This window comes from Homo sapiens, chromosome 8 (genome assembly GCF_000001405.40).
Source record: "Homo sapiens chromosome 8, GRCh38.p14 Primary Assembly".
Classification (NCBI taxonomy): domain Eukaryota; kingdom Metazoa; phylum Chordata; class Mammalia; order Primates; family Hominidae; genus Homo; species Homo sapiens.
This window is the reverse complement of record NC_000008.11, coordinates 66,493,242-66,519,857: the sequence shown is the minus strand read 5'-3', so window position 1 is coordinate 66,519,857 and position 26,616 is coordinate 66,493,242. Positions and strand designations below refer to the sequence as shown.

The window sequence follows — 26,616 nt, the reverse complement described above, 5'->3', positions numbered from 1 at the left end:
AGAACTCTGGGTACTCCTGCCTAATTTGGGCCAGGCAGGGTCCAGATCCTGGTCCTTCCTGGAAAAGTGAGGTCCCTCCTATCCCCCTTTGGGCTCCTCTGGGCAACTTTTCCGGGGAAGGCAGATGAGCCTTATGGCAACTGTGCTCCAAGGGGCCAGCCCAGGCCTGGGGAGATGGCGCTTGGCTCTCCAAAACTGCCCAGGTCCTGAGAAGTCTGAGGGGTGTGGGAAGGGCCCACAATGGGGGCAGTGGGATCCTCTTGGCTTGGCTCCCCGACGAGGACATAGGGACGTGGCTGGTGCAGCTCAGCTACCCAACGGATGACCTGCTGCATGTCAGGCTCCTTCTGCTGCCATTTCTCACCCTCCCTGCTCCCTCCCGACCAAGGGTATTAAAAGGTATGAATATTGTCCCAGGTCCAAAGTAACAAAAAATTTAAATAAATTTCTAGGCATGTGGCCTGGTCTGCAGAATGAGAGCCTTCTTGCTGCGCATTGTGGTGATGGATTCAATCACAAAGCTCTCAGTGGTTTGCAAAACTCAATGCAAATTCTAATCCTTAGGAGAGTCATCTTTCTGCCTGTGTTTTTTCCTTGCTTGTCCTTCGGTCTCTGCCAATTTCAAGGAGACAACGTGTCACATGATTCCTTTTAAAGTCAGGCTCTGGCTGGTGCTGCTTTTCCTACCCACTGCCCATCTGCCAGCTCAAAAGACAACCTGAGTGCTGGGTGGGGTGGGGGAACCGCCACAGTGAGTGCTCAAGTAAGAACAGAAATATTTGACTGGACTGGGTCCTAACAGAGGCGATTTTATTACCCTAAATGTCCTGGAAACCCTGTTGCCTCTGGCTCGAGAAGACTCCAGGCTTGGCCATTCCCGGACGGCCTGCTGCAGCGAGCCTTGGCGTCCTTCTGCAAGTGGCTGTGACATGAGTCATGGGGGCAGTCTCTAGCGAGGCTGAACAAGAGGTGGGCACAGAGCAGGAAGGTTGCATCTTCCTCCCATCAAGGGTGAGAGACTAGCAGGCTGGCAATAACCACTGGACCCCCTGGGGCTTATGGTGGGGACCAAGGAGTCAGCATCAGCAGGAGGAGGTTGACCCCAGGGGGGACAGGTCAGGCCAGTCCAGGCCCTGACAGAAGTGACCCTCCTGTTAACTGCTGAGCAGTGCCCGTAATATCAAAACCAGACTTTGCCTTAGGATGGAAAGAACACGCTGGGTTCTTTCTTACCATCCCTCTCATTTAAAGGAGCAGTGAGGTACAGGCTCCTAATTCTTTCCCTTCGTGAAAGTCGCCTCTTTTATTCAACAAGGGAGCCTCAGGCATGCTCTTATGGTGGTGCATGAATGTCACAAACAAAGCTGACTTTATTTTTATTTGAATTGGCCAAGTAAAATGTTCCATACAAGGCAAACAGTTCAACATGAAATATTTAAATTAAAAATAAATTACTTCCATCCTATATAAATCTCTAGCTGCCACATACAAATGAAAGATACCAGTTATAAATGAAATAAGTTAAAATAAATGGTTGTAAGGAGCTAGGTGTGGTGGCATGTGCCTGTCATCCCAGCTTTCAGGAGACTGAGGTGGGAGGATGGATCTCTTGAACCCAGGAGTTTGAGACCAGTCTGGGCAACACAGCAAAATCCTGTCTTAAAAACAAACGTAATTGTAGGATCCTCTGTTACGACCAGCATAGGTTACTGGTTTGCTCCCTAACTTTGTTCTGGACTCCAACATCTCTATTGAATGAGACTTTTGAACAGTCCTCTGGGATAGCCCCTTCTTAAAAGAGCACTTGATGCCCAGGTCTCCAAATCACTTTCAGATATGAGGATCTGGTGTTCAGAGTCTAAAACAATGGTTGAAGAGCAGAGATAGCAAGGTGGAATCCCAGAGGCCCAGGCCTCTCAGCCACCCTCTCGCTTCTCATGGATTCACCTGGAGATATGGAAATAGGGAACTCAGCAAAAAAGCAAGACATAGGCACAGAGCGGCAGTCACACATAGCAGTTGAGTCTGAGACCTGTAATGTGGCCAAACACTTCTTTGTATCAACATATGGCAATTTCCAGCACTGTCTTAGGCTAAATTTCCCATAGGATCTCTGGTTTTATTAAGTGGGCTAGATTAATTTAAACCTCTGAATTAGAAAACAAACCTTCAGGGGCAGAGTTTAGGCCACAGATGACAAATATACAAGGCATGTGTCACTAATCCCTCCATGGGCAAGAATTACTAATTGACCACAGCATTCTTCTATCTCAGATTCCATCTTTACACAGTACTTCGGGCAGCCTCTACCCATCAATCATGTTTAGTGTTTGGGATGAAAATCATTTATTAACCTTGGTCCTTCTCTATGTTCTGAACTATTTTGTGTGAAGGAGTAGCTCTAACACAGGCATTGAAGCCTGACACTCACATAAGTTAGGTGCCTTAGTCTAATCATTTAACCTCTTTGAATTGGCATCTATTAAGTGGATAGGGCCACCTAATAGAGTTTTTAGAAAGATTAGGATGATATATATAAATTGCCTAGTATCATGCCTGAAACATAGGCATTTAATAGATGATAGCTATAAGTATCATTATCATCATTATTATTATGTTATTGTTTTAAGGCTACTAATGTTGACAATGGAATTGATGATGACATTTTCACTGATAGAAGAAAAGCATAGTATCATATATGAGGTTGAACCATATGAAATTGATGCTCAATTGTTTTTGACCTACAAAAATGTCAACTTTTTCTGGTTCAAGCTAACATATAAGATATAATAGTGTATTTCATTCAAATCCCTTACTTGTTCCAACATATCAGAGTCTTCTTTTCAATGGTTGCCCCCAGAGACACACTCTCACCATTTAAAAACTTCCCCAAGTCAGTTGCTAGAGAGTAGGCAAAGCAGGGAGTCCACTGGAGAGAAGTTAAGGACCTGCTGTCTGGTTCCACTACCTGGTATCTGGTCCTGTAATCTCTGAAGGCCTCCATTTCCCCCTCTGCAGATTGGGAATAATTGTGCTTTCTTCCACAGGGGTTTTGTGAAGATAAGAGATAACGGATGAGAAAGCACTTTCAAAAGTTCAAATTATTATACCAAAGCAAGGGATTATTGATTCCACTAGACTATGCCACTTCAGAAAACATTAGCAGTCAACATTTAACTTTTAATGTTTTTCTATAGAAAAACTGCACATAAAAGAATAGAGAATTCATGCAATCATGCCAAATGGCCATGAAAATCAATCTTGAGTATACTCTCAAGTGGATATTAGAACTACTAACTTTATATATAGTGCTTTGTCCTTGAAAATTGTACCTTGTCAAGGTGAAGTAAATGCAGTAATGGAAACAGTAAGAACCATTGTGTTTACAAGTGCCTCAAAGTCCATTTACACTAGAAAATCACACACTTTAGAGCAACTCACAAGGAAGACAGAGGAATTGCTTTTTTCCTTCCTTGGAGGTCTTTAAAATGAGCTGGGAAAGTTTAATTTTTTGCTTAAAGATAGAGATACAAACTTTATGACCTCCCAAAGTCACTTTCAGACCAATGGCTTTAGCAATTCTAAGAAGGGGCAGTTTTATATTGCCTTCGAGGGACATTTCTTTCCTGTGCCCTATCCCAGGGTAATCAATGAGTGAGGGAGGATAATGGGTTTGGACCAGCTACTAGCAGAGGTGCGTGTGGCTCAGTTTCAATCCTGAAGGTTTTTCCTCTTGTCCGGGGAACCTTGGCCAACACAGGGCACTTGAAGAGGGTCACCTTTAGTCGGCCTCAAAGGCGCTGTTGGTGGCTCCCACATATTCAGACTTCTTCTTGTGCCTTGTCCACATTTTCCGGAGGATGCCGGGGACGCCGCAGGAAGCACTGCCTGTCAGTGGTAGAGAGGCTTCTGCTCCTTGGGGAAGGGCTGGATACTCTTCAGTCATCTTCTTGAGATGTCTGGATCTAAAGAAAAGCCAGGAGTGGGTGGGGAGGGTGGTCTGCTCACAAGCCAAACTTCATTTTTGCCCTTAAGAAGAGTGGCCAGAGCTCTCTCTCCTCTGCTCCTCCTCAGTGACCGGGATCCACGTAGCTGTAAGGTCACTGTTGGGACCCTCACAGGAACGTCTTCCCTTGGGGAAAGCTTCCCATGGCATGAATGGAGGAGGTGACCCTGAACACACTGGTTCATGGGATCTCAAGTTCTGCTACTGTCCCCCTGCTCTGGGTCTGGTCTTGCCAAAGGCTCTGCATACCTACCCCTTCAGCCTCTATGTGAACAAACTTGCTGGAAAGGACAGTTCCCCAAACAGTAGCTATTGAAAGAGCATGAGGTCTGGGATGGAATCCTGCTTCCCATCTGCTGTGTGACCTCAGGCAAGTGACTTAACCTTTACCAGCCTCAGTTTCTTCATGTGCAAAATGGGGATAATCTCATCTAACTCATGGGGCTTTTTGGAGGAGGCAAATGAAAGAGTGAAGCATCTGGCACATTGTGGGCCTCAACATGTGTTCATGCCTTAACCCCTGCTCCCCTTAGGTGAAAGAAATGGTGGGCTTAATTTTCTTTTCTGTAACTAGGGTCCAGGAACAAATTGAAATGACAATGACTGAGTTTAGAGAGAAGGGAGCCATTTAGAACCCTTTGCAACGCAGCCACGTGGACTGAAAGGTTGGCCTCTGTCATGGCACAGTGAAATTTTTGCTGGTTTACACCAGCAGCCAGCAACAGCTATTGCCACTTAAAAATTGTACCTCATTAAGGTAAAATAAATATGATCCAATCTTTTTGGATATTTATTGGATATAACAGAATCAAAGAAAATTTTTTTGTTTGTTTTCTTCAATTAAGTCCCCATACATTGAGTAACACATGACTTGGTTTTTATAATTCTTTCTAGCCAATCTTCTGTCATTCAGAAGTGCTCCCCACTAGCCTGTTCTTGCTCTGACCTCCCAGTGCTTTCAAAGTGTGCAGCGCTCAGGCTGACAGTGTAGTCTGGAGCCCCGCCTGCTTGCATCCAACATGTTCCCAAGTGCATAGCTTCCCAACTACTAGATAAGTTTCCTGAAACACGTTGACAACAGCTTGTGCTAAGCTCTCCACATATTATCTCTTTCAATTCTCAGGCCAGGTGTGGAGGCTCATGCCTGTAATCCCAGCACTTTGGGAGGTCAAGGCAGGGGGATCACTTGAGGTCAGGAGTTTGAGACCAGCCTGTCCAACATGGCAAAAACCCATCTCTACTAAAAATACAAAAATCGGCTGGGCGTGGTGGCGGGCGCCTATAGCTCCAGCTACTTGGGAGGCTGGAGAATTGTTTGAACCCCGGAGGTAGAGGTTGCAGTGAGCCAAAATTGCGCCACTGCACTCCAGCCTGGCGACAGAGTGAGACCCCCTCTCAAAACAAAACAAAACAAAAACCAAAAAATTAATTCTCACCACAACCCCCTAAGATGGGTACCCCCTGTGATTCCTGTTTTACCTTTTTGTTTTTGAACAGATGGGGACAGGAAGGCTGAATAACTTGCCTGAAGTCGTGGTGGGTTGGTGGCAGTTCCAGGCTAGAAAGCAGATCTGAGAAAATAACCCAACCCTTCACCACCCTGAAACGCCTTTTCTGCTGCCTGCGGTGTGGAGGATGTAGTCCAGGGCATACAGGTATGTGCTGAATCGAGTTGAAGACTCACTGTCTTGGTACAAGGCAGAAGGCAGTGTCACTGAGGGGTGTCGGGGGTTATCCGCTCCTGCCTCCCTAGCTGCCGGTTCTGGATGAAAGCGAGCAGTCTCACTGCAGTTTCAAGTGTGGTTTGAAACCTTTGTACTTGACACACTTCTTAACCGGTGGGCAGGGGATCTTGAACTTACTCATGAGATATTTCTGACGCCTGCATGCCTATGGGAGGTTCTGAATATGGCTCGTGATTACATTCATCTAATTAACCAAAAAACCTCCCAAATGACTTCTCCAAGCCTAAAGAGTGGCGTTAATGAAGTGGAAACCATGAAAAACCCTCCTGCTTAATCCTAGGGAAACAGTTGATGAGGCGCTGCAGAGACCCAGGATTATTGGCCTCATTAAAAGATAATTTGCAGCTGGCATGGGTTTGTGTTGGCCTCTCGAGGGTCTGTCAACCAGGCGGCCTGGTGCTCTTCTGGGGAAGGAAGGATCAGGACAGTGGGAGGCCACAGGCAGTGGGGCCAGAGACGCAGCACTTACCCTCTCATCAGAACAGCTCCCTTCTCTGTGCCCATGGCTGTCGCCTCCAATGAGGCAGAGGCTGAAGTTTTCACTGAGATCCGGGGCACTGGCGGTATCTGTCATGAGGAAGCGGGAGGGAGTGTGAGGATGCATCTGCCTTCCCACTCTGGCCCTGACTGAGGCTGTCTGCAAGTGGGGGGACTGAATGGAACCACCACCGCCTGGGCATAGTCCTCATCATTCAGCAGGTGTGGGACTGCCCTGGAGGGCTTGATAAACAGTGCCAGGCCCCACCCCAGCTTCTGAGTCCGTGGGTCTGCTGTGGGCCTGAGAATCTGCATTGCTAACAATTCCCCAGGTGTGCTGGTGCTGCTAGTCCTGGGACTCCACTTTGAGCCACTGACCTAGAGAAACTCAGGAGAGAGAAATGAGAAACTGGAGACCGCGCAGCTCAGTCTTATATGGCAACTGCCACCCTCACACCTCCATCATCACTGGTGTCCAGTTTGTTACTAAATCCTGCAGATTCTTGCTTTGATTAGGCTACGTAGGGTAGGGCCAGCCCAGCCTCTCCGTTTCCTCCGCTGCAGCCTTCAAGGGACAGTGACCTCGGACCTCCTTGCTTCCGACCAGATCCACCACATTCCTCATGCCCCTCCTTGGACTGTAGAAGCATAAGGCACTCCAACCCCGCCCACCCACCTTGCAGGGCAGATTGACTCTGCAGCTGCTCCTCCAGGCTCCTCAGCACAGGACGCCCTCTATCTACGCAGCTCGGCCTCCCATTGGTCCCGTGTGTCAGTAGCTCTGCTCCCAGCAGCGGGTGCTCCCTTCTCTGATGCTGGCACAGCAATATCTCCTCTTTCACCCTCTGACTTGAGGCCTCATCTGTCTCCCCTTCAAGGCTGTTTCCTCTAGGAAGCCTTCCCTGAGGCTGGTGGCCCAAGTTGATCTTTCTCTGTCCTCAGGTCCCCACAGCACTGAGTGTCTATGTGGGTAACAGGGTCTGGGACTGGACCCCTTGGCAGCCCTCCTCAGCCCTCCCAAAGGAGTGACAAGTACTCAGGAACATGGAGAGTTAACTGAAAATTAACCAATGGCCTAAACAGGGCTAAGTCCAGAGGCTGCTTAGACAATAGACACACTCTGTGCTGTGTTCTTCCCCCTAAGCCCTATCCAAGGCTTCAAGTCACCACATTCCTAAAATTGCTGGAAATTCCCGGTCAAGGGCACCTTCTTCACCCCTCCTCCCATCCCAAGCTGGCCGACTGTGGGCAGAGCTGCTGTGCCACCTTGTGGTCCGTGCAAACGCTTCCTTCCCATTATGCCATGGGCCGGTGAACACTTGCACCCCCTTATCTCTGGGTGAAAGGACTTGTTCCCACTCTTTTCCCCTTTCCTTAGGCCAATCTCACCCAGCACACTTTGCACGGACTTGGATTTAGCTGTGTGGGCCCTGGATTGCTCTCCCATGCTGGTGTCACAGATTTCTGATAAGCTGTGAGACCCTAGCCCCACTATCTCCAGGCCTGAGGAAGGGTCTGTTGTGCTGCCTCCTCTTCCTCTTCATTCTTTTTTTTTTTTTTTTTTGAAACTGAGTTTCACTCTTGTTTCCCAGGCTGGAGTGCAGTGGCAGATTTTGGCTCACTGCAAACTCTGCCTCCTGTGTTCAAGTGATTCTCTTGCCTCAGCCTCCCGAGTAGCTGGGATCACAGGCATGGCTCACCACGCTCGGCTAATTTTTGTATTTTTAGTAGAGATGGGGTTTCGCCATGTTGGCCAGGCTGGTCTCAAACTCTTGGCCTCAGGTGACCACCTGCCTCCGCCTCCCAAAGTGCTGGGATTACAGCTGTGAGCCACTGTGCCTGGCCTCTTCCTCTTCATTCTTATTCCTCCTCTTTGTAACTACATCCCCATCACCACCCTATCCCCTCCCAGCTTCCTCTGGACTCCTGCTGTCACTGCCTGTCTGCCAAGGGCACTGTCTGAAGCCAGCTTAAGGGCTGGGGCCAGGCAGTCAAAGATCATAAGCTACCTGCCTCCTCTTGACCTTGCTTTTTCTCTGGCTCAGGTGAGGGCAGCTGTTGGAGCTGTCATAGCCTGATAATCTTCCCTTGACATCAACTGCCCAGACCTCCTGGTTTCCCCTAAGTACCAGGTTGGGGAAGGGGAAACAGCCCTGTGTGTGGCTTTCCTAGAATAGTGATGGCCTAAATGAGATTCCCTGGATTAGGTCTCCTGCCCAGACCAGGAGCGAAGCACCCATATCTCTGTCCAATTTGTTTGTGACGATGAGGGCCTGGCACAATAACTTGGGTCTCTTCCGGTTCTCACATTGCACCACCTATGGATCTTGACAGCGGATACTCAAAGAGTCTAGGATGCCTGAGCTGACCTCACCTCCAGCCACTGCTGACTCTGCTAACCAAGAGGGAACCCGACATTCCTGCCCAGAGATGAGGGAGATGTACTGATAGGCCTGAAAATGTGCCACCCCATCCCCTTCAAGGAAGGACAGCTGCCCAGCTGTGGGAGGGAGGACAGCAGGGTGGGTAGCAGAAAGCTCTTAGCTCCTTCAGGTGGGCTTGGCTGTAGAGGGCCACCTTGTCAAGGTCACACCCTTCCTGGGACAGCCCACATGCCTTGATGGAGTGAGAAGGGAACATAAAAGCTTGGTCATTTCAGCCTGACTCAGACCAGTCTGAGTGGGTAATGCTTGTTCCGGAGCCCCCTACAAGGTGTTGAAACCCTAGTCCTGGATGTATGGTATTGGGAGCAGGACCTTTGGGAGGTGATTAGGTTTAGATGAGGTCATGATGGTGGAGACTCTATGATAAGATCAGTGCCCTTATAACAAAAGGAAGAGATGCCAGGTATCTCCCTCTCCCCACATGCACAGAGGGAAGGCCATGTGAACCCACAGTGAGAAGGTGGTCATCTGCAAGCCAGAAAGAGAGCCGTCGCCAGTCACTGAATCTGCTGGCACCTTGATCTTGGACTTCCCAGCCTCCAGAACTGTGAGAAATTGTTGTTTTAGCCACCCAGTCTATGGTATTTTCTTACAGCAGCCTGTGCTAACTAAGACACTGGTGTTTTGTGTTTCATAGTGCTCGAGAGCCTCGCCTCTCTTTTCCCCTGTGGCTGTGCCTGGGAATTAGTCAGGCATTTCTACCTGGCGGGGTCCTGTGATAGAAACCAGTCCATCCTGCCCCCACCCCTCACCATGTATAAGATGTCTATTGGATAATAGCTTCTTTTGTTTGCCTAAGAGCGGAATTTCTCACAAGAAAGAGAGAAGCAGCCAGGGATATTCCACAAGGGTACAAATTAGGGCCAACTGAGAGCTTTTGGGAGCAAAGAACTGCCAGTTATGCTTTTCTAATAATCCTCAGGCCTGGAACAAAGAACACTGAGTCTCTCTTCATGGCACAGGAGAATCAGACATGACCAGAAGTTTAATGCACAACAGATACAACTAAGCAGGCTTATTTTACTTACCAGAGATTTTCCATATGCTCGATTCCCACACAGATTTGATGTTTTGGGTTCAGAAATCCCCACTGCAATGTTGAACAGAGGAGATATTACTCAGTGGTACTCTGTGTTCTGCCTCCCACTGGCCCTGCATCAATTACCTTGTTAGCCAATCAACCACGCCAGGGAATTTCTAAAGGCCTTTGTACCAAGCAGCAAAACCAGGCAGGAGGGTCAGGCCACAAGGCAACTGTCACTCTTCTAGGGGAGCTGGAACTAAGGCCTAAATAAGATCAGTGTGTCTATGTAGGTTCATTGACTATCACAAACATATCCCTCTGGTGGGGGATGTTGATGGGGGGAGGCTGTGCTTGTATGAGGGGGCAGGAGGTATATGGGAAACCTCTGTACCTTCAGCTCAATTTTGCTGTATACCTAAAACTGCTCTAAAAATAAAGTCTATTTAAAAATAAGATCACACATGTGGATCATTTAGCACTGTGTCTGCATGCAGTAGGTGCTCAGAATGTGCCTTCAGCTCTTCCTTCCTTCCCAAGGCCTCAGATCACAAGAGATTAAACAGGTTCTTGGAATTAAGTCTTTATAGCTGGGATCAGTTATTTAACACGGTGCTGTGGACACCCCTCTAAAAATGAGCAGAGAAGTCATGCCTGTGCTGGGAAGGAAGTGCAGCCCCATAACATGGAAGGACTGGAGTGTATCAGATCAGAATCCTGGGACACTGGCTTTACGAGATGTATGGGTGGAGAACCTTAGAGAACCTTCTTTCTAATGCCTTTATTCCTGATGCCCCAACCTAATTCTGAGTACTTTTTACTCTGAAGCTTCTAAGGATTCAAGTGTTGAGCTGAGGTAGCTGATAAAACGTAGGGGAAAGCTGGCTTTCAGCACAGGTCTCTCTGGGGGCAGATGTCCCAGGACAAGCCCCATCTGATTGTACTACAGCATCTAGAAATAACTCCCCTTCCACAAGAAAACACCTCAATGCAAATAAAATAAAGTATTACAAGACTACCAAGATTAAACTATAATGAATGGAGCCCTGGCGTAACTAATAATAATAGCAGCTCACATTTTTGTCTGTACGCCAGGCACTGTGCTGAGCATAAACCGTAAAAGTATTATCTCATTTAATCCTCACCACAATCTTTCTTTTCTTTTGAGACGGGGTCTCACTCTGTCATTCAGGCTGGAGTGCAGTGGCATGCGTAATCTCTGGCTCACTGCAGCCTTGACCTCCTGAGCTCAATCAATTCTCCTACCTCAGCTTCCAGAGTAGCTGGGACCACAGGTGCACACCACCACGCCCGGCTAATTTTTGTTTGTGGAGATAGGGTTTCGCCATGTTGCCCAGGCTGGTTTGGAATAGTCCGCACTTTCTAGTCAAGGAAACGAGGCTTTAGAGATACATAACAGTTATGATGAAGCCAGGTAAGGGTGATTTAGGGAGTAGCAAACTGACTTTGGGTGGTCTTGCAGGGTTAAGGAGGCTTGACTGAGTAACCCTCTACCCCGGCTAGGAGAAGGTGGAGTTTGCCAGGTGGAGAGACACAGGGAAGGCAATCTGCTGAGAGAACAGTGTCAGGGAAAGTGCTGGGAAGCAGGATATCATGGAGCTGTCACAGAACTACCCCCAGCTCAGGGCTGTTCTACGTGATAGAACGGTGGGGACAGGGGTGTCATAGGAGGTAGCCTTGGAGAGGTCAGTGTGGTCTGGAGGGCAGGGGCCAGGAACGGACACAGCACTTAAAGCTGAGGGAGCACAGGGGCAGATTTCTGCTCCAAGTGGACCTCTCTGGTAGCCTGGTGGGAGGGGCTGGAGGCTGGGCCCTTCACTGACGATGTTCTCTACACAGCCGAGATGAAGGGAGTGGGAGCCAGGGTGGCTTGAGGTAGGTACCAAGAGGGCTAGGAGAGAAATACCTAGGAGTGGATGCCGTCAGTGTTTCATGTCGAAGGTGTGGGGAGGACAAGGAGGCATTAGGGGAAACATCCCAGGGATTTGCTGGGACGGTGGATAATGGCCCCCACTGAGAAAAGAGGAAAGGCTTGAACAAGTTGGTTCTGAGGTGCCTGAGGACATCTCTGAAGAAGTCCTGGAGGCAGCCAATTCTCCCAGGCCCAGGACTGGGGACTGCCCCATTTCCAGGCACCTGAGAGTTTCTCAGTCAGGTCTCTGCATTTAGAGTTCCTACAATTCCCAGGATTCCCCAGAGCATCTTTCTCCCAGGTGAGACGGCTACTGCATCCAGGTGCCTTCTATGGCCCAGGAAAAAAGCAGTTCCAAAATCTGAGCTCCCTGGAAACAGGCACCTTTCTTGACAGGAGGATGGTCTGGCTTTGACTCAGAAACATTCCCTCCCTCCCACCCACTCTGGAATCTATCAGATTGGAGGAGGTGAAGGAATTGAACCAATCCCCAGCTCAGTCTCTCTCTCTCTCTCTTTTTTTGAAACCTCGCTGGCATATTTCCTGCATGAGCTGACTGTCACGTGCTGGGCAGATTCTCTCCATATCATAACTTATTGCTCTTGTCTTTCAGAATAAAAGACTGACTCAGGCAGCCCAAGCTTCCACAAACTACTTAGAAAGGAATGAAAGTGATCCTTAAAACTCGACAGTTGGAAAGACATTCCCTGTGGGGAAGAGGCACTAGCTAGGGAATCAAAAGACCGGAGATTCAATCTTGGCTCTGTTGCTCACAAGCAATGCGACCTTGGGTAGGTCAAACAGTTTCTATGGTTTCGGTTTCTTCTGGAAATTGGCAGAGGGGCAGTTACAGTAAATCAGAGGCTCTCTACGTTCAGGGTGCATTAGAATCACGTGGGGCGGAGGCAGTGAGGGATGGTGGGGAGAGGGTTGTTAAAATACAGATTAATGTTCCCTAAACCTGGAGCTTCTAATTCAATAAAATTTGCATTTCCAACAATTTTCCAGAGACTGCTGCTGCTGCTCCTGGGACTCCACTTTGAGAAACACCACATTAGATCCTCTCTAAATCCTTGCTGCTCAATATGTTGTGCCCAGAGCAGCAGCATCTGGAAGCTTGTTAGAAACATAAAATCTTGGGGCCTACCCAGTCCTACTAAATTTGAATCTGCATAAAAATAAGATTCCTAGGTGATTCTTTTGCATATTAAAATTTGAGAAGCATGGCTCTAAATTCACTTTATGATTTTATAGAAAAGATAAATATTCTGTCTCTTCTTCTTTCCACACACACATGCACCCACCCACCCACCCACCCACCTATATATAGACACAGAGAAAAATCTATCTCGTCTTAATTTGCAAGGCAGATTGTGGTTTTCCTAATGCTTTCAAACTCTGCATACATATATGTGTATGTAACCACTTAATAGAGAATATAGCTTGATGTATGAGTTCTTATGCAAAGGATCAGAGGAGCAGGATTAGGTTCTTAGCAATCAAAGAAATCTTGGTGGCCTGGTCTAGCATCTACAAATGGAAAACTCAAAGTTGGATGGAGGAAGGGACTATACGCAGTAGAGTCTTATTTCAGTCCTTATAATATGCAAAGTTGCCAACGCCCGAAGGCTTTCAGAAGGACACCCTGGACTTTCTATTGTGTATTTTTGGAGGTAAAATATGAATAACTTTAGGTTGTGGGCATAACAGAAATAACCTAAACCAGCAATTAAAGGCACAATACCACCATAGACTTGGGTGGGCTAGAGGCAGATTCCTGGTTATCTGCTTGGGGTGGAAGCCATTAAAAAAAAATAGCATCCAAGGTAAAACTATAATGTTTCCAGTTTTCAAGACAAACTTACTCCTACACTCTTGTTATAGATTGTTGTTTAGGTTATTCAAATTTAGAATGGTAAGATTTTATGATGGCAGTTTATGAAGAGCCTGTACAATTTTACACACACACACACACACACACACACACACACACACACACTGTCTCTCTCTCTCTCTCTCTCTCTGTTAAATAAATTATGTGATCCTCCTTTGCTTCATGGGTCATGATTTTCTCTCCCCCACAGCATTCTGATTTACACTCTCTCTAGAATACAGTAGGGCCTCCTGTGGAGGAAGACAGCAGATAACAGCCCATCTCAGTGGGTCATGCCTGTAATCCCAGCACTTTGGGAGGCCTCAGCCAGTGGATCACTTGCGTTCAGGAGTTCGAGACCAGCCTGGGCAACACAGCAAGACCCCATCTTTTAAAGATAAAAAAAATTGGTTGACCATGGTGGCTGTGAACCTGTAGTCCCAGGGAGGCTGAGGCGGGAGGATGGCTTGAGCCCAGGGCAGTGAGCCGTGATTGCTGCCACTGCACTCCAGCCTAGGTAACACAGTGAGACCCTGTCTCAATGAAAGAAAAGAAAAAAAAGATTAGATAAGAGCATCTTTGCTCATTACGCAAACCTAGGAGTGACTGTTTTATAGGTAGAAGATGCTGTGTGAGGCTAAGGTGAGGCCTGAGAGCAGGTGCTTTTGTGGTGGAAACAGCATTTACTTGGGAAAGCACAGGTGCTTGGTCACCTGGCGCGACTGAGGCCGCAGCCACCGCCAACGCTGCCCTGACCTGGGCTTGTGGTGGCTCTGAGTGGGTCTCTGCGCCCAGGGAGGTGCGGGGAGCTGGGGCCGGGACTCACGTACCGGGTCTGGCAGAGGCTTTGGCCGGGTGGGCTGTGGGCGGCCGCGCGGTCTGGAGCCGCCCAAACCTGCGGCGGTCGCCAGGGTCCCTGCGGTCTCCGCGGTGGGGCAGCAGCTCCAGGGGCTGGTGCGTGTACAGGTCCGACTCGATCACCACCTGCCGGGCGGGGGAAACGCGGTTAGCCCACTCCTCTGCTCGGGCCTAGGGACCCATGGAACCCCAGGGCAGGAGCTTTGCAGATGGAGCTCGCATCGAGGGAGTTTCTGGATCCTTCGTGATTCCAGTGAATTCTAGGAACAGCGACAAAATCTGGGCAGGAAACCGGCCAGAAGTGACTGTTTTATTTGACTTCAGACTGCCAAATGGTGCCATGGGGCAAGCAAATGAGGGTTCTGGAGCGGGCAGGGGTGTTCCTCAACAGCAGGCCCTTCACAGGGTCAGGAGCCTGGGCCATCAGGCCAGAGATACGGGCAGGCCAGCTGCCCGGTCGCCTGACGTGTTTTGACAACAGGACAGGCAATGAAACAGGACAGTTCTGGAGATCGAGGTCTTACAGTCTTTGTAGCTGAGTGGACAACGCCCTTGTTCATGCAGAGGACAACTTTTTGGATGCTCTAGCAGAGCGAAGACCTAGGGAGAGGGCTCAGGCCCAACTTAGTCTCAGATTTTTAAAAATAAAGAAGCTGCTGGCAAAATGGAGCAGGGGGCACGGGGTGCTCTCCTACCCGCGTCCCCACTTCCCAGTGCAGAGTGCCTGGGTCAGGGTGGAGCTGGGAGATGAATTTCCACTGTGTGTGGTTCTGTGCACGGAAATCTTGATAAGCTGGAACAAAGGTCCCAATGCTAAAATGTTTTCAGTCATCACCACCTGCTGAGTAGTTATACTGGGAAATTACTCTGTTAGAGTCCACCAAAATGGGCCTTAAAAATGGTATTTTTTTGGAAAAAATTGTAATAAAAATACTTAAATCATTGAGATAATTTAAGTGTAAAAACTTGAGACAAATAGTAGCCATTTTATCTTACTATGGAGAGTCGTGAAGGGGAATCTTGGTAGTTTGGGCTTCGATCCTGCATGTTTATACATAGGCAGGACACTGGGTCATTCATTCTGGGGGTGGGGGGGCGGTGGTGGGCAGCCCTTTCATCACAGCTGTTCCTGATTTTATTTTCATTCTCTCAGCATCGCTCTCGGAAAGGAGGAGTGAGGGCTGCTGTGGAGTTTTCAGACCCACTTTGTAGAAGGAGGAAGTAAGGCAGGATGTGAAGCCTGGAGTCCACAGGAAGACTGCCGCTGCCTTCCAATATTTCCTTCTCTGAAAGGGAGACAAATGTTCCCTTTCAGGAACAAGAACCACCACCTCCCCATCTCTTCTCTGCACAGTGGGGAGGGAGAATGGGGAGGGAGAGAGTGGAGTGGCATTAGCTGCTCAGCCCAGCAGCCAGATGGATGTAGGAGGTTTCCTGGGGGTGGCAAGGAGGCCAGTTATTTCCCAGGTCGCGACTGGGGACAGTGCCTCCTCTTCTCCAGCCCACCAAAGGATGCCAGTAGCAGGAAATGAAAGAGGAGAAGAGCCCAGCTCTGAGCCTTCCTGTTTCTTAGCTGGGCCTGATACTTGGTTCTCATTTTCCACAATAATGGAGGCTCTGAGATGGTTGCAGCTCAGTGTGTTAGGCCCGTCCCAGGGAACAGACGGCTGAATGGATGGGATGTGGCCTCCTGAGAGGCTCCTGACAGCCTGGTTTATTTTCTGGACTATAGGACACAGTCTGGGCTTGCTGCTGATGGTCTTAGAACACACTGGTCTGAGTAGAGGCTCTTTAGCATCCTGAGTATAGGAGCAAGATTAGAGAATTAGGATGGTGGTATGGGATGTTAATGAGCAGGGAGGAGGAGAGAGAAGGGTTGAATGCTGGAATTTTCCTTTCTTAGGTCAGCAAACTGCCAGCTGAAGTTGGGGAATGTATTAGAGTAACAAGCATTATCACAATAAAGTAATACTTCCTTGCTGGTCATAGAGAGGTCAAGATAGGAAAAGCAGAAGACACGGGCTAACACACAAGCCTCAGGATCCCATCTGCTGACGTCTTTGATTCACACTTCTCCTTATTTGTCACCTAGATCTCTGATAGACAGTTAGAAAGACAGTCAAGAAGACGGAGATAATAGAGAATTACAATGCTTTGGGGCTGAGGGGATTCACAGAAATGTTCTAGCCCAATTCTAGCCTAATTTTATACATAGGGAAACTGAGGCCAAGAGAGGCCATGTGTCTTACTCAAGACCACAGAACTGTAAGGGACAGAGCCAGGATGAGAACCATGGTTTCGTGCCTCCTAAGTGGGTGCTCTTGGTAAACCTGAATATAGAAGTGCCTACATTCAGGCTGGGCGCAGTGGCTTATGCCTGTAATCCCAGCACTTTGGGAGGATGAGGTGGCGGATCATTGAACCCAGGAGTTCAAGACCAGCCTGGGCAACATGGCAAAACCCTGTCTCTACAAAAAAATACAAAAACTAGCTGGGTGTGGTGCCACATGCCTGTAGTCCCACCTACTTGGGAGGCTGAAATGGGAGGATCACCTGAGCCCAGGAGGTGGGGGCTGTAGTGAGCTTTGATCATGCCACTGCACTCCAGCATGGGGGACAGAGTGAGACCCCATCTTAAAAAAAAAAAAAGGAAGAAGAACAGCCTACATCCAGATAGGAATTTACAAGTGCAAGTGCAATTGGTTGCTCTGTGCATTTCTTTTCTTTTTCTTTTTCTTTTTTTGTTTATTTTGAGACGGAGTCTCACTCTGTCACCCAGGCTGGAGTGCAGTGTGGCATGATCTTGGCTCACCACAACCTCTGCCTCCTGGGTTCAGGCAATTCTCCTGCCTCAGCCTCTCAAGTAGCTAGGACTACAGGCGCCTGCCACCACGCCTGGCTAATTTTTGTATTTTTAGTAGAGATGGGGTTTCACCATATTGGTCAGGCTGATCTCAAACTCTGACCTCAGGCAATCCACCTGCCTCGGCCTCCCAAAGTGCTAGGATTACAGGTGCGAGCCACTGTGCACGGCGCTCTGTGCATTTCAAAAAATCAGGAGAACCCCACATATATTCCTCCTTACAAGCTTGAAATCTGAGAAGAATGTGACCTTTGCAATCTCATTTATCCATCTTTTCTGATGGCTGACCGCCTGCTTATTCTGAAGGGGCCACGAATCTTCATTGTCGTGGCTCCATGCCAGAAGGCTTAACTGACTCATACCTTTGTGTAAGTTTATCCCCTTGAGTTACTCCTATGATAGTGGGCATCAGGATGGTCAAAATGTCCATAAAATTGTCTAAGAATTAAAAAAATTAAAGACTGGAGAGGCCGTCTAGAGAAGGAACAGTGTGAGGCTTTGCCTTGAATTTGGAAGAAATACAATTCAAGAGGAATCAGAGAAGAAGGAAAGCTGATATTAAGGATTGCTCAGGGAGGAAAGAGGTATTTGAGAAGAAGGAACCTGACATCCATTCACATGGTAGTCTAAGGGATAAGAAGAGATACAAATACAAATTTGAGGACATAGGAAGTTGTAAATATGGTACAGTTGCAAAATAAGAATTATTTTCCTCATCAAGATAATCAATCACAATTGCTTTTAGATCACCAAGTTGGAGAAGACAAAGACTCAAAGGGAAGCCAAGGGTCAGTTGGTTGGGGACACAAGAGACCAGAGACAATTCTTTCCTTTTTGGGACTCACTTTTCCCATCTGCAAAAGTAGGAGGTGGACTAAGAGACCTTGCCTCTCTTCTAATTTGAATGGTCTGTGTGGCTGGGGCTGAGTTTTACAAGCAGAGGCTGGGCTAAGCTAAACTGTTAGGGGAAATTAGAAATTCAGAGGAAAGTGCAAAAAGCCAGAGAGCACTCCTGTGCTGTCCACCTGGAGGAAGACTGAATATGGGAAGACAAGAGCCAAACTTCCTGACCAAAAGACTGAAAGATCTGTGGTGAAACTTTCTTAAACTCCAAATTACCCACAGACAACCCCTTCTCTTTCCATTTTTGAGAACACCTCACCCATTGCTCCTTGAAAGTTGGGAGCATTTTCCTTCTAGACTTTGGGATTGAGTTTTCAGGGACCATGAGAAGGATCAGAATCAGTTGCCCTACAATCAAATTTTCCATCCATTAAAAACACTTCTCTTTCTTAACATACAAAAGGTTCTCGAAAAAGGCATACAGTGCTTGCCTCAGCAACACATACACTAAAATTGAAATGATACAGAGAAGATTAGCATGGCCACTGTGCAAGGGTAACACGCAAATTCATGAAGTATTCTGTATTTTTACTACACGGCCATAAAAAAGAACAAAATTGGCTGGGTGTGGTGGCTCACACCTGTAATACCAGCACTTTGGGAGGTCGAGGCGGGCGGATCATTTGAGGTCAGGAGTTTGGGACCAGCCTGACCAACATGGTGAAACCCCGTCTCTACTAAAAATACAAAAAAAATTAGCTGGGCCTGATGGCGGGCACCTGTAGTCCCAGCTACTTGGAGGCTGAGGCAGGAGAATCGCTTGAACCTAGGAGGCGGAGGTTGCAGTGAGCTGAGATCACGCCATGGCACTCCAGCCTGGGCAATGAAGTGAGACTCTGTCTCAAAAAAAAAAAAAAAAAAAAAAATCATGTCCTTTGCATCAACATGGATGCAATGCAGCTGGAGGATATTATCCTAAGCAAATTAACACAGAACAGAAACTGAAAACTATACACTACATGCCCTCACTTATAAGTGGGAGCTAAATATTGGGTACAGGCAGACACAAAGATGGGACTAATAGACACTGGGAACTCCGAAAAGGAGGAGGAAGGGAAGAGGGAAAGGGTGGAAACACTACCTATTGGGTAAGATGTTCACTACTTGGGCGATGCTATCATTAGAAGCCCAAACCTCAGCATCATGCAATATACTCATCTAAAAAACCTGCACACATACCCCCTAAATCTAAAATAAGAAAAAGGCGTATAACTGAGAGAAATATAGGCAAAAGTCATGAGTAAGAAACCGTAGGGGAAAAAATGTTGAAATGATCAATACATCTATGAAAAGATGAAGAATCACATCAATAATTATAGAAATAAAATTAAACAGGATATGTTTACCTATCTGATTGTCAAAGACTAACAACATTGATGCCACACAGTATAGGCTCAGCTGTTCTGGAAAAGGTATTTTAAAATGTAATTGCTAGGAATTTGTCAGTGGCTATAAAATTGTTTCAATGTGTATCTCCTTTGGCCTGGGATTTTCATATCTATGAATTTATCCTCGGAATCATTTAAGAACATAAAAATATGTTCAAGAATTTGTTGTGGCATTGTTTAATAGAAAAAATGGGGAACCCTATTTATCGATAATTTGGTTAAATAATGAATCTAGAAAACTTCAGGTTTGGTTTGGGTAAAAAAAATTATAGAGCATTCATACAATGTTGTATTATACAGCCGCTATAAAGAATGAGGTAGGCCAGGCACAGTGGCTCAGGCCTGTAATCTCAGCACTTTGGGAGGCTGAGACAGTAGGTTTGCTTGAGCCCAAGAGTTCAAAACCAGCCTGGGCAACATGACAAAACCCTATGAAAAATAATATTAATAATAAATAAAGATTTAAAAATGTGTATATAAAAGAAGAATAAGGTAGAGCTATACAGATGAATTGGCATAGAAAGATATTCAAGATTTATTAAGAGAAAAAAGCAAATTGCAGGAGTTCGAGACCAGCCTGGCCAACATGGTGAAACTCCGTCTCTACTAAAAATATTAAAAAAAATAGCTGGGCGTGGTGGTGAGTTCCTGTAATCCCAGCTACTCGGGAGGCTGAGGCAGAAGAATTGCTTGAACCCAGGAGACGGAGGTTGCAGTGAGCCGACATGGTGCCACTGCACTCCAGCCTGGGCGACAGAGTGAGACTGTGTCTCAAACAAACAAACAAACAAAAAACAAAAAAACAAAACTGGCTGGGCACAGTGGCTCACACCTGCAAATTCCAGCACTTTGGGAGGAGGCAGAGGCAGGTGGATCACTTGAGTCCAAGAGTTTGAGACTAGCCTGGGTGACATAGTGAAACCCTGTCTCTACTAAAAGTACAAAAATTAGCTGGGCATGGTGGCTCATGCCTGTAGTCCCAGATACTTGGGAGGCTAAGAAGGGAGGATCACTTGAGCCCAGGGGGTTGAGACTGTGGTGAGCCGAGACCACGCCACTGCACTCCAGTCTGGGTGACAGAGTGAGACCCTGTCCCCTCCGCCAAAAAAAAAAAAAAAAAAAAAACCAACCCAATACTTATTGAATGCTTATATGTGTCAGGCTCTGGACTAAACATTTTATATGCATTAAATCATTTGCCAAAAAAAAAAGAGAAAAAAATAAAAAAATAAATGTGGCTTTTGTTGCAGAAGAAAAAAAATCATTGCTCCTTCCCATGGTTCTTGAGAAATGTTCTCTTATTATCCTCATTTAATGCTAAGGAAGTTGAATTCCACAATAGCTAAGCAACTTGCTCAAGGTCACATAGCTAGAAATGGATAGAACTGGGATTTAAACCCAGGCCATTTGACTCTGAAGTCTACATACCTAACCCCTCTCTTCTGCAGCTTCTCAGGATTTGCTGATAGTATACAGTAGTCCCTTTCATCTATGGTTTCAGTTACCCTTGGTCAAGTAGAGTCTGTAAATATTAAATGGAAAATTCCAGAAATATTTCATAGATTTTAAATTTTGCACTATTCTGAGCAGTGTGATGAAATCTCACACCAATCTGCATATCCCCTCCCGGGGCATGAATCATCCCTTTGTCCAGGGTCTCCATTCTGTGGACAACCCCCACCTGTTAGTCGCTTAGTAGCCATCTTGGTTATTAGATTTAAAGGACACACACACACACACAAAAGATTTAAAGGATATAGTGATACAGGGTTCAGTACTATCCATGGTTTCAGGCATCCGCTGGAGGTTTTGGAACATATTTCCTGCAGATAAGGGGGGGACTACTGTATTGTATAAAATTTTATATAGCATATACTGCTTTTGGAAATAAAAAGGTAATACATTTATATACATGTATACATTTACATGTATAGTATATGTACATGTTATATAGAAACAACAACTAGTAAAACTCCATCTCATTCAAAGGACATTATTATTATTTTTTTTATTTGAGGCAGGGTCTCACTGTTTGCCCAGGCTGGAGTACAGTAGCATGACCATGGCTCACTCTAGCCTCGAACTCCCTGGCTCACATGATCCTTCCACTTCAGCCTCCCAAGTAGCTAGGACAACAAGAGCATAGCACCATGCCTGGCTAATTTTTTTTTTTTTTTTTGAGACGGAGTCTTGTTCTGTTGCCCAGGCTGGAATGCAGTGGCATAATCTTGGCTCACTGCAACCTCTGCCTCTCAGGTTCAAGCGATTCTCCTGCCTCAGCCTCCTGAGTAGCTGGGATTACAGGCATGCGCCACCATGCCCAACTAATTTTTGTATTTTTAGTAGAGATGGGGTTTCTCCATGTTGGCCAGGCTGATCTTGAACTCCTGACCTCGGGTGATCCGCCCACCTCAGCCTCCCAAAGTGCTAGGATTACAGGCGTGAGCCACTGCGCCTGGCCGCCTGGCTAATTTTTTGACTTTTTTGTAGAGTCGGGGTCTCATGTTGCCCAGGCTGGCCTCGAATTCTTGGGCTCTAGCTAACCTTCTGCTTCAACCTCCCAAAGTGCTGGGATTATAGGTGTAAGCCACAGTGCCCAGTCGAAAAAAATTTTTAATGGAGAATAGGCTTTTGAAAATTGAGATACTTCAAAAATTGAAATGCTATCCTATGAAAAATTGTCATAGAAATAGAAACTCCAGTACAACCAAGAGGAGACAACTCAGTTTCAACTTTAAAGCGCAAAGATGTACTGCCAGTTTTATGTAAAGAAATTTATATATAAAATGGGAATTGCACAGCATTATTAGGCTCTAAAGACATGTAAGCTAATTTTAGAGTAATGCATATGCATGTTAAAGCAGCAAAACATAATACAAAAAGAGGAAAGCCGATGCTGGTGATGTTGGTGGTAAATGGACAAGCATTACTGGAAGCCCCCAAATTGTTCAGAATTCCTGACAGTATGTGACAAAACTGTAAAAAGAACTAGTTTGAGCAAATCACAATTCTCTACATCTAGCACAATGTTTGTCACACACAGTAGGAATGCAAATATTTGATGAAGGAGTAGATGGATGGATGAAATTGTTCTTATCCTTTTACCTTTTTTTTCTACTTTGAGGCCTATGCTCTGAGGAATTAATCCAAAAGAATAGTATTTTGGCCAGGTGCAGTGGCTCATGCCTGTAATCCCAGCACTTTGGAAGGCCAAGGCAGATGGATCATGAGGTCAGGAGATCGAGACCATCCTGGCCAACATGGTGAAACCCCGTCTCTACTAAAATACAAAAAATTAGCCAGGCGTGCTGGCGTGCGCCTGTAGTCCCAGCTACTTGGGAGGCTGAGGCAGGGGAATCCCTTGAACCCTGGAGGCGGAGGTTGCAGTGAGCAGAGATTGTGCCATTGCACTCCAGCCTGGCGACAGAGAGAGACTCCATCTCAAAAAAAAAATAGTATTTTATATAAATACATTCATTGCTGTGCTATTAATAATAGTAAAAAAATGGAACATTACGAATGCCAACAATAGGAAAACACCTAGATCAGGAATGCTATGTCCACATCGTGAACTCTGTTTAAACAAGAAAAAAAAAGTGTGCATAAAACAAGTCTTACTCTCTGTGCCTGGAGAAAATGGCAGAATAAGTGGTCCAGTTCAGGGTCACTTGGTGTCTGGTTGACATTTGTCAATTATTTTGGTTAAGTGGAGAACGGAGAGTGCAGCACGCACCACATGGAACACTGAAACCCTCCTGGCCACTGAGAGCTGGGGAGCGAGAGTGAAGAAGAAGCCTGGCATTGCTTTTTAAATGAAAGTCAACCAAAGAACATCAAAACTAAAGTTTCCTTACATTCTTGGTCAAGAGGTGCTGAGAGCTTTTGGCTCTTCTTCTGGCTGGACTGGATACTGCAAAGACAGAGAGAAAGAAATGGTTTTAGACAACATCAGCGAGGCTGACATAGCTACAGTAACAACACTGAGAAGGTTTGAATCTGTGGCGAGGCAGGGGCATAGAGGAGGGGACGGGAAAAAGAGACAGGGTCGTTGCGATTGAAGATGTTACTTGGCTTGAGTACAAAGTTCATAGCTGCATTACTCACAAGAGCTGAAGTTTGGGAACAACCCAAATGTCCACCAACAGATGAATGAATAAACAAAATATGGTGTCTGTATGTGATGGAATATTACTCAGCCTTGAAAAGGAATGGAATTCTGATACATGCCACACATGGATGAACCTTGAAAACATGGTACTAAGTGAAATAAGCCGGACACAAAATGTCACATAGTCTACAATTCCTCTTAATATGGGGTTCCTAGAGTAGTCAAATTCATAGAGACAGAAAAACAAACAAACAAAAGGACAAAAAACCAAATTTGTAGGACAAAAAGTAGAATGGTGGTTACTGGTGGCTGGAAGAGTGGGGGAATGAGTTAGTGTTCAACGGATTCAGAGTTTTAGTTTGGGATAATGAAGAAGTGCTAGGATGGATGGGGGTGATGGTTGCACAACAATGTGAATAGACTTAATGCCACTGACCTGTACACTTAAAAATAGTTTTTAAAATGGTACATTTTGTTATGCATATTTTGCCACAATTATAAAAAAGCTTAAAGAAATTAACCATTAAACATGTTACTTGGTTGGGAAAAGGTTTTACAGCAACTTCACAAGATAGCTACTCTTGTACCACAAGGAAGTGGCCATGAATGAAAATGGGAAGGGAAAAAAGATAAGATTAAATATTTATCTTTGACTGATCATGTTGATTATTCTAAATACAAAATAAAATTGGAAATCACTTTTTAAGTGATGTATTTAATGGTGCTTACTACATGCCAGCTACTGTTCTAGATGCTTTATATATTTACTCATTTATTCCCCATATGATCCTGGAAGATAAGTTGTTTCTCCCATTTACAGCAGTGGAAACTCAGGCCCAGAGAGGTTAAGTAGCTTGCCCAAGGTCACACAGTGCAGAAGTGGCAGCAGTCTCTTAACCACTTCGTTTTGACTTTTTCTTCCTTTAAAAATTTTGTAAATGGAAGTAAATGATAGAAAATAAACACATGTAACATTTTCATATTTCCTTCTACTTTGTTTTCTTCTCATATACAAGAAATACAAAATCAGAGGCAATGTTTTGGTTCTCTTTCTACCCTTCCCTAATTCTCCTTCCCTACCTTCCCAAGACTACTGAGATCACTAATTTTATCTGTATCTTTCTGGTCTATGTTTTTGTATTTTTCTCTAGATACATATCCATAAACAATATATAGTATTGGTTTATATTTTCAAATTTACAGAAATGCTATCTTACATATATAATTTTTCAGCCTGCTTATTTGGCACTCAGCATTATGCTTAGATCTACCTATGTTCACAGGCATACATCTAGTTTATTCCTGTTGACATTGTATAGTATTCCACAGCATGACAGCACCACATTTTAACCATTCCCCTCTTCATGGACACTCAGGTTATTTTCAGTTGTGCCTTCTTAGAATCAATGCCACCGTGAACATCCAGGGGTAAGAGGAGTTCCACCCAAAAGCGAAACTGCTGATTCCGAGGGTCAACTTGGACTTTCAGAGTTTCCAGAGGGAATTCCAACTCCTGCACGTGGGCAGCAGACTCCCAGCTCTTTTCCCTCTCTCTGGATCTGGCAGTAAATGTCTAAAGCTTAATTTATGTCCTGCAGGCTGTCTCTTTGTGGCCAAACGGAATCTCTCCCTGCCCCACTGTGCAATGGCCCTGTCAGCGGCTGACACAGGGGAAGAAAGGAATTGTTTGAATGTGGGCTCACAACACCAGCAAACACCCAGCCTACTTCATTCAAGGCTGACAATGAGACCAGGGGCTAAGCCTGAGTCATGGAGGTGGATGGGAGGGGGCAAGACAGGAGCGCAGGCAGAGAACAGAGGCGGCAGGAGAGGGGGCCATGCTTAGGAGAGGCTGAGGGGACTGACCAGGAACCAGACACTTGGAGTCATCAGAACCCTCACACAAAGCCCTTAACACCGTTCACTGAGGACCACAAGAGCTTATAAAGTCAAGACTCTCGTGTCGCATTCTCTGGCAGCATTAGTTCCGGGTTAAGTTTGCAAGGTGGCCCTGGGTTCTGTGGAGAAGCCAGCCCAGGGTCAGGGCGCTCTCTGACGGCTTCACTGGACTTCAAGCAGCCACCGGGAGTATTTCTCCGCACTTTGCATGGCACAGTTAGAAATCATACTTTTAAGCCAGCTGTTCTCATTTCAGAACCCACTTGCTCACTGGAAAAAATGAAAGTCTCTATCTAGCTACCCTGGGATTTTGTTTTCACCTGTGTGCATAGCAATGGCTTGCTGTCACTTCCATTGGTGTACTGGACTGTTGGTACTGAATTAAATGAGACAGGGAGTATTTAGCTGCTCTCGCCTTCCCCTTGATGGATTGTTTCTCAGTGATTGATGTTTATCCTTGTGCCTCTTTCCCCCCTCCAAAAAATCAAATACCATCAAAACCGAGAGTCCATCAGACCCCAGAGACCTGAGGATAAACCGTAGTAAGGCAGCACGTGACTGTCCTTCCCCTCCTGCCTAAGATGCCACGTTAAGGAAACAGTCAAGGGCAATTTCACTCACCCTTGGAAGGAATCACGGTGGTGAAAACTTCTATGTTCTCGTCACTGCAGCTGTAAATCTGATGCATCATTTCAGCCTCCTCTTCCCGAAGTGCCTGGGAACTGGAGGCCTCTGTCTCTGGACCCCTAGTCGCGAGGCATCCTAATCCAGTCTGGCTCAGGGATCATTGTGCGGGTCCACAAAAGACAGGCTGGTGCTATGAGCTCATCTCGTTCCAGTCTTCACTGCAACATTTTCTAAACCCATCTGTCCTTTTTTTTTTTTTTTTTTTTAAATGAATCCTATTATTGCAAACCTTTGATTGAGCCTGGAGGCTTCAATCCCCTCCCAGCTAGGATGTATTTAACATTTTTATTTTGCGGTGTCTGCCGCAGTGAATTTGGAAGCCTTTTGTGAGGTGACGACGAAGTGAAATCGCCTACTCTGTTAGCGCCAAGCTTGGCTGGAGAATTTCCACCAAAAAGGAAACGTGAATTT

At 46.2% G+C, this 26,616-nt stretch overlaps 1 protein-coding gene, 1 long non-coding RNA gene and 1 pseudogene across 3 annotated transcripts in view; 2 read left to right on the top strand and 1 right to left on the bottom strand.

Annotated features, from left to right (window-relative positions):
- The window catches only part of LOC124901955 (uncharacterized), a 35,981-nt gene extending 22,308 nt beyond the window's left edge, over positions 1 to 13,673 (top strand). Inside the window, exons 2-4 of one of the 2 annotated variants that reach the window (XR_007060951.1) lie at positions 5,504 to 5,661; positions 9,102 to 9,219; positions 12,240 to 12,623. This is a non-coding gene — a long non-coding RNA (uncharacterized LOC124901955). Of the gene's footprint in view, positions 1 to 5,503; positions 5,662 to 9,101; positions 9,220 to 12,239 lie in introns of both variants that reach the window. The other variant, XR_007060952.1, reaches the window with a different exon arrangement.
- VXN (vexin) lies at positions 1,334 to 26,292 on the bottom strand. Its single transcript, NM_152765.4, has 6 exons — positions 26,140 to 26,292; positions 23,366 to 23,421; positions 14,330 to 14,483; positions 9,701 to 9,762; positions 6,221 to 6,318; positions 1,334 to 3,965 (listed from the first exon to the last, which is right to left on the bottom strand). Exons 1-6 carry the CDS (start codon positions 26,207 to 26,209, stop codon positions 3,782 to 3,784), a joined length of 624 nt encoding a protein of 207 aa, NP_689978.2. The 5' UTR covers positions 26,210 to 26,292; the 3' UTR covers positions 1,334 to 3,781.
- On the top strand, positions 18,547 to 18,653 carry RNU6-1324P (RNA, U6 small nuclear 1324, pseudogene; annotated as a pseudogene).
- Positions 26,293 to 26,616: the final 324 nt, after the last annotated feature.

Excerpts from the sequence above, each read along its gene's own strand:
- VXN (NM_152765.4), bottom strand. The coding sequence starts at position 26,209 with ATGATGCATCAGATTTACAGCTGCAGTGACGAGAACATAGAAGTTTTC. Across the intron at positions 9,763-14,329 it reads CAAAGCCTCTGCCAGACCCG|TGGGGATTTCTGAACCCAAA; the intron begins GTACGTGAGTCC and ends TCAACATTGCAG. Across the intron at positions 6,319-9,700 it reads GAGCATATGGAAAATCTCTG|ATACCGCCAGTGCCCCGGAT; the intron begins GTAAGTAAAATA and ends TCCTCATGACAG.